The sequence below is a fragment of the Homo sapiens genome, chromosome 2, assembly GCF_000001405.40.
Source record: "Homo sapiens chromosome 2, GRCh38.p14 Primary Assembly".
In the NCBI taxonomy this organism is placed as follows: domain Eukaryota; kingdom Metazoa; phylum Chordata; class Mammalia; order Primates; family Hominidae; genus Homo; species Homo sapiens.
The window spans coordinates 235,790,720-235,802,724 of NC_000002.12; the positions used below are offsets into that span (position 1 = coordinate 235,790,720).

The window sequence follows — 12,005 nt, forward strand, 5'->3', positions numbered from 1 at the left end:
GTTGACTCATCCATTCATTCATCCAGTTGTTGTGTGCCCACTGAGTGTCAGGCAGGCCCTGGCCCCGGGAAGTTAAATACAGCATGGCCTCAAGCATTTCCAGAAGAGGTCCCAGCTCGGTGGAATTGGCCCATTGTCTTGGAACATGGGCTGACTGTACTCTTTAGTAGACGGCACAGTTTGGCAGGATCTCCGCAGGTGTGTAAGTGCCAGGCTATGCCATGGGTCCCATGGTTCACTGATTGTCATTAAGGAACATACTGTAGCCAGAAAACCCAAGAGACCATCATGGATGTGTGTGCTTCCTCACATGGCTATGATTTGACTTAGCTTTTCTTTATCGCTGAAAACACAGATCATATGAAAACACATTTAGGAGATGGGCTTGAATTATCAACAATATAGAGTACACCTTCTTTAACATTTAACTTTGAGATTTTCATGGTGAGAAAAATTCTACATATTTCTTTTCACTCCGAAGTCACACATTCTGAACTATATAGATAATTTGGTAATTAATTTCTTCTTAATAAGATAGTTTAATGATCACTTTACTGTGATTTAAAATGGAGTTGAGACGTTAGGGGATCTTTTATTTGTTACTGGAAGATTACAGCCGGTAGTGGCTTTCATTATTTATGGGAGGGTCTCCAGGTAAGCCCCCTATGGTTCGAATGGAAGATTCTTTCTTTTTCTTTTCTTTTCTTTTTTTTGTAGGGGCGGGGGATGGATTAGGGACAAACTGTCCCTGATATGCTGATATGCCCTGTCCAAACTCCTGACGCACAGAATCGTGATAAACAATAAGATGGCACGTTGATTTGATTTGATTTTTTTTTTGAGACGGATTCTTGCTCTTTGGCCAGACTGGAGTACAGTGGCATGATCTTGGCTCACGGCTCACTGCAACCTCTGCCTCCTGGGTTCAAGCGATTCTCCTGCCTCAGTCTCCCAAGTAGCTGGGATTACAGGCACACGCCACAATGCCTGGCTAATTTTTGTATTTTTAGTAGAGACAAGGTTTCACCATGTTGACCAGGCTGGTCCAAACTCCTGACCTCAGGTGATCTGCCCGCCTCAGCCTCCCAAAGTGCTGGGATTACAGGTGTGAGCCAGCTCACCCAGCCGGGAAGAGCCTTTCAATGAAATGTGAAGTAAGTGTCACCTTTGGGTGGAGACACCAAAGACAGAGACAAGACATGCAGTGCCCTCAGCTGCATAAATTTTGCTTTTAAAATATTTTCGTGGAGTAAAATTAGTGTTTAGTCTCATGTGAATTTCATCAGTGTGTCTATGGTGAGCATTTAAAATACGGTTTTATTGGAGGTGTGGTTCGTACTTTATAATCCCTACCTAACAGTGCTTACTCGGAATTGCTCCCCCGCCTCCCAAGTTACTGGCCTCACTGTGCTCCAGCTTTCCCAGTAGCAGAGGAACCCTCTTCCCAAACGTGGGCTTGATTTACACCGAGTCATTAGTTGTCATCTAATGGTGGCTCTTCAGTGTCACTGCAATCTATACGCTTTCTCTGTGTCTTCCTTAGTTCTCTGCCCCCACTTTTCCCCACCCTTCACGTGTCATCTGGTCCCCCACAAAGCTTTTGCATGGGGTTCATCTGCCTATTCCAGGAGAGACTATGGTCCTTATCCAGTAGTACTAATGTGCGGAAATACCAGGAGTGGACAAGCCACCTTCCCCAAACATGAAAGAGCCCAGTTTTGCTAAGGAGCTGTTGAAAAACTGGAAATAGAACAGCGCTGTGGTAAGATTTGCCTTTGAGGTCGCCCTGTGGTGTGTTAGGGGCATTTAGGGGACAGTCAGGGAGACTCATTTGGAAGTTGCTTTGGTCACCAGCTGTGGAAGGATAAGTCTTAGACCAAGGCAGTGGCAGTGAAGACGAATTTCTGAGAAACTCTGGTGGTTGAACCAATCATCTGTTAGGTCTGTTCTGTCCATGGTGAAGAGCGGGTTGTGCCATCGACTGAGCTAGAAAACAGACGAGAGGCAGGTCTGAGAGAGGCTAGGAGGCCCAGGCTGGGCGGCGCGGACTTGAAGGCGCCTCTAGCAGATCCAAGGGGAGATGCCGAGTTGGTCATTGGCTACACAACTCTAGAAGGCAGGATGTGAGGCAGAGCTCTTCGTGGCAGTGGCGATCCTGGGAGCTCCTGGCACTGAGGTGGTGACCGAGACATTCGCGAGGAGGTTGCCCAGGCAGAGGGCATGGGAAAAAGGACACCAGGAGGATGCCAGGGAAGCACCCGCACTTCAGGAGCCAGCAAGGGAGGATGAGAAAGAGAAGTTCCAGCCGGAGGAGGAAAACCAGGGACGTCAGGGTTCATGGAAGCCCGAGGAGGATGCAGAAGAGGAAAGGAGGGAATGACGAGGAACGCCACATGCTGCTCAGAGGTCCAGGAAGGTGCGACCTAGCCTCTGGACCACTCCCAGTGACCATGGCAATGGCAGGCCCAGCCTAGGGATTGCAGAGAGCAGGAGAGGCAGAGTCGAGCAGCATCCCCGGGCTTTCCAGAAGGCCTGGCTGGGAATGGGGCGTGGCACACGGTGTAATCCGGGCAGCCTTGGCGAGCACCTCCTGTGTGCCAGTCACCACACTCAGTCCTTTTCAGCATTTTGTTTAGTTACCCAATCCATTTCATTTAGTCACCCAAGTAGAAGTTAGAAATTGATGACAAACTGAGGGTGCAGGGCAAAAGAACACATGATTCGTGCTGTGGAACCAGGACAGTCTGTTGGGGTGCTGGCAGGGTGTTCGATTGCCACATGGTGGTGTCATGAGCAGTCCCAGAGCCGTCGGATTGCTCTGGTGCACTTGCTGCCTGGTTTTTCTCACCTGCAAAATGAAAGAGCTGACAGGATGAAATGAGTTAATAGATGGGAAGTGTGGGCCGCCTAGCCCTGCTCAGCCTTTGAGCAGCAAAAAGGAGGAAGGGGGAGGAGGAGGAGCTGTCCTCTGGTTATAGAGGGCGTGAGGTTGGCCCGGAGGCTCCTAGTGTGACCAAGGGCTATTCCTTGCCTCATTTTGTGTGATTTAGAAACAAGATGGAAGTAGAAATTGGGCATTATGTCAGGATTTAATGAAGTCTTGTTTGGGAGCTGTTGTCTTATTTTTAACCACTAATTAAAGGGTGCTATTTCCCTCTATAGAATAGAACATTTACAGTTTGTGGATAAAGTAAATGTATACCTCACTTTTTTTGTTAAGTTCTTAAACTTTTTTTTTATTATTGAAGAATGGAAACATACATGAAAGTGTATTTGGGCTTAAAAAGTTGTCACAAAATTATCCTCAGGTCAAGGAGGGCCTATTTCTAGACCCCAGAAACCCCTGTGTCCTGTCCCAGGCACCTGCCTGCTCTGCTCCCTGAAGATGGGCACAATTCTCCCTTCTGACCCCATGGTGAGGCCAGCTTGGTTTTCACCTTTATACAATGTACACACACACACGCACACTTGCACAGTTGAAGGGGCTAGTTAGAGGTATCTTTTATCTGTTAACCCAAATAAAATTTTAAAATTATAGAGGAAGTGACTTTTAAAAGAACACTGAGCATTACTCTTGGGAGTCTCAGGAGGGTAATTAAATTGGTAGTGTCAGTAGTAAGCGCAAATGTTTTCAGTACCCGTTGACACCGTTTTAGATTTGGGAGTAGCTCATGTGACAGAGTCATAGGGAAGTGTGCTGCCCAATTTGAGAAAAGATCAAATCTCAGTGACAAAGCTTCCAGATTTTTTTTAAATTAAATTTAATTTTTTTGCGATAGTCTGACTCTGTTACCCAGGCTGGAGTGCAGTGGCATGATCTTGGCTCACTGCGACCTCTGCCTCCCCGGTTCAAGTGATTCTCGTGCCTCAGCCTCCCAAGTAGTTGGGATTACAGGCATGCGCCACCACATCCGGCTAATTTTTGTATTTTTAGTAGAGACGGGATTTCACCATGTTGGCCAGGCTGGACTCGAACTCCTGACCTCAGGTGATCTGCCCGCCTCGGCCTCCCAGAGTGCTGGGATTACAGGTATGAGCCACCGCGCCCAGCCGCTTCCAGATTTTTTTTAAGTAAATCCACGTGATTGTGTTTCTGATCTATGCACCAACACACATTTACATTGAACATATTTATGTCTATGCACCCACACACATTTACATTGAACATACGTATTTATATGAAACAACACATTTATTTCTTGGATAATCAAATATAGACAAAAACTCAATGGTTATAAAAAGCTTCCCAGACAGCACAGTCTGGGGTAATATTCACATGTTAAACCTATTAACATTTAAATGTTCTAAATAGTATGAGTAATTAACGATTACAGCCACAGAAGAGCAGCTCCCTCCCGTGACATTCCATCCATTTTCTTTGAGTTGTTTTTTTGGGGTGGGAATGGAGGGGGGTTCCTCCACTCACATAGACACACCAAGCTTTTCCCTCTAGGAGATTACCCAGCCTGCTGCTGGGTTGTGTGGGGAAGGACTGCGGATGTCTTGGATGGCAGTTGTCATACTAGTTTTTTGCTTCCCCAAACAATTCATTTAGGGATGTCTTTAAGTGAGGCGCCCAGAGATTCCACCCCGTCCCTGGGACATCAAGCAAATAGCAGCAACAGCCGTTGGCAAATTTGTGGCTATTTGCAGCATTGACTCTGTAGTCAGTTTGCATTTTCAAGATGGGGGAGACATGGGCAGACATTACAAAGGAGTCCTTTCCCCTTCCTATTCCTCATGCTCCCGCTCCTCCTCCTGAAGTCAGATACTTTTTGTTCTTCATTAAAGTTTTCCCTTATTCGTATGGGTTACCCTGTAGTTTTAAAGCATTCAAGCAGTCCGTATATTTTAGAACAATATATTTATAAATCATTTTCTTTCCTTGATTTGTGTATGGAAGCAGGAAGGACATAACAGGTAGAGGGGAAATAGGACAAATATGAAAAAAAAATAGTAGAGTTTAAAAACTACTACCAGTTACCGGATGTTGTGACTTCATTTTATTTTTTAATTAATGTGGTAGAATAGTAATTAAATGGACAGAAGAATTTTAGCAGTTAACAATGCTAAATACTCATACTTTGTACATCCTGTCTGTAGTTTGATGAGAGGCTTTGTTGTAGAAATATTCTCTTTACTCATGAACTGACTCTTCCTAGACTCCATAGAAAGGATAGAACATTCATTTGCATTTGAAGTTTCATACAACAGTCGTTTCCATAACATATTTGACTTATCTTAGGAAGTTTCTCGCATCTTCCCTTAGTTTCTACAAATGAAAATGTCTGCAAAGCTCTCAAAGCATGCATCCTAGTCCTATTTAATTCTGACATCTGCACATTTCTTACGAATGTAAAGTCAGTGTGGCCATCCAGCTGAATAGTAACTCTGAAGCTGGGAGTAAAATCAGATTTCAGTGTAATTGATAATCAAAGCCCCTTATTGCTATTTTTCAAAAACAAAGTAGCAATACTTTAGCACTCACCCAGGCAATTATGATTTTTGGCTAATTTACTTTTGGTTTTTGCAATTTCAAGATACCTAGACAACACATTTTGCATCTGTTGAAATCTTAGATTTTATTTTTGAGTTCACATAATGACTTTAAAATATTCTAATAAATGTCTTCAAAGACCCCAGATCAATATGCCAATGGTTCTGAGATGACAGAGTGCTGCGATATTCCTCTGTAATTTAAACATGATTAGCTGATGAAGGTTATGTGATATCAATACACTACCGGAAGATAAATTAATTGATATCATCCTTTCAGGATGATAAGAGGCCTATTGGAGGTGGGATGTAACTAATGAAGCTGCTTCTTCCTCTCTGTGAGCCATTTTTTATATATTGCATTTTCACTTAATCATATTTATACTATCATTCATTTACATGAAACCCATAGGCTGTGGACAAACCAGTTTCTTATTAAAATTGTATTCATTTGGAAAAGAAATTATCTGCAAACACTATATGGGCCCCGTCTACGTTATAACCTATTGCTGGGGAGAGATGACAAGTTCCTTTCCGTGGACATCTTCGAAAATAGCAACTATCTAGGCAAAGTCAAGGATTGAATATCATTGAACTTAATTACTGCTAGTCCCCAAAGACACACATCTATTCAAATCAAAAGTGTAGTTATTCTGCGGCAGTGACACCATTGGTGTAGGAAGAGTTTTCTAATCGTTGACTTCCTTTCCAATTACATTCAGTATGCTTTATCAGCGAGCCTATTTGCCAAGAGAAGTTATGGCTGGTTGAATTTAGATTTGTATTGATTAAGATAAACTTACAATGTGTGCAGTCATATATTTAAATAAAAAAGGTCTTTGATATAATTACATCTCCTTGAATATAATTCTCTATGATAGCTTGTAGAGTGAAGAGGATTTCTTTAGGCTTTGGGGGAAAAAAAAAGATTTTTGTCTTTCCAAGGGGTTTGGTTAAATTGCCCTGCCTTATTTAGGATTATTTTTGTTCCAAGTAACTGGAAAAAAAGATGATTTTATGAGAATAACTTAAATGAGATAGGTGTGTATTTTTTTGCTTTACATTCCTCTGAGGTGGTCTGTGCAGGGCTGCTGAGGCCTTCTGTGGAGTTGGGGGACCGGCTCTATCTGTCTCCCATGTGGCTCCTGTTCCCAGTGTCGCCTCGTGTTCCACAGTGCTGCTGAGGCCATGTAACGTTTGTGCATTTCAGGCAACAAGTAGGAAAAACATACGAGAATTTAGGCAAAGGGAGGCTCTCCAGGAAGATCCTTAAAAGCTGCCCTGTGATCCTTCTGCTCTCATCCTGCTGGCCAGAGCTTGTGTACCTGGCCATGTTCAGCTGATGCGGGGGTGGGGGGACGGGAGGAGGCTCTGGCAAATGTCATGTTTATTCTGGTTGTCATTTGCCCACCTAAGAACCAGGAATGCTATTACTGCGAAAGAAGGAAATAACAGATTTCGACAACAGACTGATGATCTCTGCTCTGTTCCTGAATTTGGAAATTGATTGACATGGATTTCTTTTTGTCTGTGTGTCCACCAGTTGCCCAGAAGATTGTTGCCACAAGGAAGAAGCAGCAGCTGTCCATAGGACCCTGCAAGTCGCTACCTAATTCTCCCAGCCATTCCTCCGTCTGTTCCGCGCAGGTGTCTGCCGTGCACATCAGCCAGGTACGTTAGGTGACATGAGAAGTCAGACTCTTAGAACCAAAGACAATATGCAAATAGTGTTCCCAGCCAATGCTAAGGTTGATTTTTTTTTTCTTTTCAACTTTATAAGTAACAGCATGTTGTAATTGACTTCACATTTTCTTCAGAAACTGCTGTGGCCAAGTGATTTTTATGGGAATCATTCTTTTATGTTTTCTGTCTTCATGCTGCCTGTGTTATGAGGCATGCTGGCCCGGGTGGTGATGGGAGGTGTGTGCTGCAGTCCTCGCTGGTGATTTAAACCACCCTTCTCTGGTCTTGGTCCTAGTCTGCTTATAGGTTGAACAGTTGTGAGTAAATCTTAATGGCCAATCTCGCTTTATACTTAAATTTGGTAGTGGCATTCAATTATAATTACCATCTCCCTTAGGTCCCATAGAAACTGCTATCTTTCCATAACAACATTTTGCAAAAGTATTTACTTGGAAGCAAATGAAATAATGGTCACTTTGAAGAACTCAACCAACAACCTCCTAAGGAAACAGTTGACTTTGTTTTTGTCTGTGCTTGTTTTTTGATTACGTTTCTTGGGCAGGTATTCTATTGGCACTGTTTTTTTAAGGACATGGTGGAAGGGTTCGGTGTCGTACTTTCAGTTTGCTTGGGAAGCCAGTAAGTTATGGCATGTATTGTCAGAGCCTGTCAAGGTACAGTCATGAATGTTCATGCTGGCTGGGCTGAGTGGCAGTTGCCTGTAATCCCAGCACTTTGGGAGCTCAAGGCAGGTGGATCGCTTGAGCTCAGTAGTTCAAGACCAGCCTGGGCAACGTGGCAGAACCACACCTCTGTATCTACAAAAAAGAGAAAAATTAGCTGGGCGTGGTGGCTTGTGCCTTGGGAGGCTGAGGTGGGGGGATCACCTCTGCCCAGCAGAAGAGCTAGGCTGCAGTGAGTGTGATTGTGCCACTGCATTCCAGCCTGGGTGACAGAGTGAGACCCTGTCTCAAAAAAAAAAAAAAAAAAAAAAAAGAATGTCTTCACTTGCTGTGTTTAATTTTCTGTGAATCTTGAAATACTTTTCAAAAACACTTAGATTTTCCAGGTGTCATTTTCATAATGTTGGCTGTGGTTCTGCTGATCTAGAGCAGTGGAGGGACCATAGAATCCCTTTAGTTTAACCAACCCCTTTCATTTTCAGAGGAAAGAGAAAATAATCAAATTTGAACTCTCAGAAATCTTTTAAGTTAAATGAAAGAGACTTCTTTGTCTTCAGTCACTTTTCTCAGGGGATGCCACTGAGTGAGATGATTGGCATGTTCCAGGATGAGACTCTGTAGACATGACACTAATACACCTGGCAAAGCCATAGACGCAAGTCAGCCATTCCCATGCATCCCTTCCATGGGGCTCATGCTCACTTGTTGGTTATGACCTTGCCTAAGTGGAGGTCTTGGGTTCCTGAGTATGTCGTTAATGAAACCTTGGATTTTAATCATTTCAGACAAGTAATGGAGGTGGGAGTTTAAGCGACTATTCCTCCTCCGTTCCATCGACTCCCAGCACCAGCCAGAAGGAACTTCGGATCGATGTTCCTCCCACTGCCAACACGCCCACGCCCGTTCGCAAGCAGTCTAAGCGCCGGTCCAACCTGTTCACCGTGAGTGTCAACCCTGGGTGGAGATTTGAATGCGATTCCGAAGCGTTCCCATTAACGTAAACCTGGTTGCCACATGGTTCAGTGGTATTTGTAGAATCTCAACTATATTAAAGTGAATAACATTGATTTCTGTGGAGGACTAAGAAAATTAAGAGAAGCAAAGATTTGGATGTTGAGTAGAATGGGAATTTCTTCATGTAGACATTCCTGACTTCGTGTGTCTGAAATGAAGAGCTGGGGGTGTGTATAAAGGCACTTGTTATCCTGTGGCTCCAGCTAAAGATGTGTCACAGTGGATACAAGGAGATGACAAAACTCTAAGATTCCCAGATGTGTGTCTCTAACCGTTCAGATGATATATAAGCTATTACTGTCCACAGGCCCTCTTCTTCTTCTGCTGGGGTGCCTGGCGCTGCCCTCGGGGTGGAGGTGGGGGACTGGGAGGTGCTTCCTGGAGGCTCATTGCCATGAGGCTCTCCACTTGGGTTTTTTGCTGTAGAGCATGTTGAAAGCAGAGATGAGCTATCTGGGTTCAGGTTTATAAATTCACAATCTGGGTGCACTCGGGCATGCATTGTTCCTTTTTTTTTTTTTTTTCTTTTGAGACAGGGTCTCACTCTGTTGCCCAGGCTGGAGTGCAGTGGCTCAGTCATGGCTCACTGCAGCCTCAACCTCCTGAAATCCTCCCACTTCAGCCTTCTAAGTAGCTGGGACCATAGGCACTCACCACTACGTGTGGCTAATTTTTTTTTTTTTTTTAAAGAAATGGGGTCTTACTGTGTTGCCTAGGGTGGTCTTGAACTCCTGGGCTCAAGCCACCCTCCCACCTTGTCCTCCTGAAGTGCTGGGATTACAGGCATGAGCCATAGTGCACAGCCAGCATGTGAAGTGCTTGAAAACTCCCTGGGTGATTGAGATGCAGAGAATCTCTGAGCTACAGAGGTGGCAAAAATGCTGCCAGCCTGTCCCTTCCCTGTGCATAGCAGACATTACCAATCAATCTGGATTCTACACAGTTGAGCCGCAAACTCCAGGCACAGCTGCTGTCAGGTGACTGAAGCATTTGGACTTGAGAAGAACGCTTTTCCTCCCTGGATCACGCATTACAAGTACATGCTTTTGAAACAGTGCTTCTGAACCAGGGTGGTTTTGCTCTCCAAGGACATTTGGCAACTTCTGGAGAAACTTTGGGCTCTCACAACAGGAGTATGGGAGTGGGAAGGTAAAGGTTCTGCAGACGTCTAGTCGTGGGTAGCAACCAGGGGTGCTGCAAAGCATCCCACAGTGCATAGGTCAGCCCCTCACAGCAGGGAATTATCCAGCCCCACATGTTAGTGGTGCCCTGTTTTAAACCATCTGACTTCCATTTTGGTTGATTACTGCTGACCCAGATGCAAAGCTCTAGAGGGGTGGCTGGGAGTCAGATTTGCTGCCCCTTTGTGAATCTGATCTTGATGTTACATTGCGATTCCTGCCAAGTCTGGGAGATCCCCCGCCCCTCTGCCACATGTCTGGGGCAGTCTCTCATTGGATGCTCATGACTGCGGAGGCGGTTGCCAGCTGCACACACCCCCTCGTCCCCAGCCTCCCCTTGCTTTTGCTAGTTGCCTTGCGCCACATCAGCTCCCACAGAGGCCACTGCTGGGCAGCAGGGTGAGGACTGATCAGACAGACCAAGCTCCCATCCCGGCCTCCGCTGCTGACGGATGTTTGACCTTAGGCAAATTACTTGACCTCTCTGGGCTGGAAACCATAGTACTTCTGCAGTGGGGCTTCCGGGAAGACTTCCTGGAGGAGGCAGAAGAGATCTGGTGGCATTGCTTCCATGGTTTTCTCACTCCATTGATGCTATAAAATGATTTCTGATCGTGTTAAGCATATGTGATAGATTAGGAGGTGGGTATTTAGGTTTCTGTAAAATACAGGTGAGTATCTCACATGCTTAAATTAGTGCATGGATAACATGTTTTATTGGGCAGTTTCTTCACACACACCGAGAACAGCAGCAGTCACCTAAATAGCTGCTTCCCAGCTCCGTCTAACACCTGGAGCAGCCCCTGTCTACCCCCAGGCTGGGGGGCTTTGGGTTGAAGTGTTTCCTGCTAGAACAGGCTGCACAGTGACTCGGTGGCTTGAGAAACCAATAGCCAAAGATGCAGCTGGATTGAGAGAAGGTGGGCTGTGGGCAGGCGGCCTGTGCCCCGGGAGGAGGGGCGGGCTTGTCATCGTGGTGGTCGAGAACACCTTCTGTGTCTTTGTTAAGGGAGTGGAAGGGGGAGAGCACTCATTCTCAGACGCCTTCTGAGGGCCACATTTTCTGCTTGTTGACTTTGCTTTCTCTTTTAAGGAGAGAAATTTTAAAACCACAAAGTATCTTTAAAAATGAGACTATTTATAAGGAGAATACCAGCACCTTCCCATCCCCTCCCTTTATAAGCTCTGGAACTGCAGTGTGCCAGAAAGTAGTATCCCACTGGGTACCTGACAACCCAGGTGACTTAGGGAGGAGAACACTTGAAGGCAGAGAGAATCAAAATAACAGCCCATTTAATAAATATTGACTTAACATCTGCTCTGTGCACAGCCCTGGTTTTGCTCAGTGTCTAGGAGGAAGACTCACTGCCAGAGTCAACCCATGTTCAAGGGAAAGCGATTTAGGGTGAAGGAGAAGGGGCTCTGCACACTAGGAGGAGAGACCCTGTTGCTGCGGATTCACCCTGCAGACACACAGGTGCACTTACAGGCATCCATGAAGAGGCCGGGCAGGGCAGGTGCAGAAGCCAGTAAAAACTCATTGTTACAGTGACCAAAAATCACCATTAATTATTTCACCATTAATGTGTCACATAATATAATGGTCTGCCTATGGATCTAAGGGTGACCAGTGTTTGTTATCTTTCTCCTTAATCTTGGAAAATAAATTTGAGATCAGATCAGAAATTGAATCCAGCTGTCCCATGGCATTAGTGGGAATAGAAATTTGGAGTCATAAAAGAAGCTACCACTGCAATAGGTTTGCATTGTGGCATTTAAGGAAAAGACAGTGAAAGTTCTGGGCAGGGATCCATATGTTGGTCCTCAGTGGGTTTGACACTGAACAAAATGATGGTGGTGATGATGGTTGTGGTGATGATGATGGTTGTGGTTGTGGTGATGATGGTTGTGGTGGTGATGATGGTTGTGATAATGATGGTTGTGGTTG

The 12,005-nt window shown here is 45.0% G+C and overlaps 1 protein-coding gene across 5 annotated transcripts in view, besides 2 other annotated features; it reads left to right on the forward strand.

The window, feature by feature from the left end:
• The window catches only part of AGAP1 (ArfGAP with GTPase domain, ankyrin repeat and PH domain 1), a 637,751-nt gene that overhangs the window by 296,677 nt on the left and 329,069 nt on the right, over nt 1–12,005 (forward strand). For all 5 annotated transcript variants that reach the window (NM_001037131.3, NM_014914.5, NM_001244888.2 and 2 more), the window contains exons 7-8: nt 7,040–7,167; nt 8,648–8,803. In NM_001037131.3, the coding sequence (NP_001032208.1) occupies nt 7,040–7,167; nt 8,648–8,803 (284 nt within the window). The remainder of the gene's footprint in view (nt 1–7,039; nt 7,168–8,647; nt 8,804–12,005) is intronic.
• Nucleotides 2,304–2,804: an enhancer, noted in NCBI's record as "H3K4me1 hESC enhancer chr2:236701667-236702167 (GRCh37/hg19 assembly coordinates)". NCBI's record gives its function as "activates a minimal SCP1, AML or CMV promoter by ChIP-STARR-seq in primed H9 embryonic stem cells {active_cell/tissue: H9 hESC(primed)}" and the evidence as "EXISTENCE:reporter gene assay evidence [ECO:0000049][PMID:30033119]".
• Nucleotides 4,286–4,580: a silencer, noted in NCBI's record as "tiled region #1374; K562 Repressive non-DNase unmatched - State 23:Low". NCBI's record gives its function as "represses a minimal TATA promoter and a strong SV40 promoter by Sharpr-MPRA in K562 cells {active_cell/tissue: K562}" and the evidence as "EXISTENCE:reporter gene assay evidence [ECO:0000049][PMID:27701403]".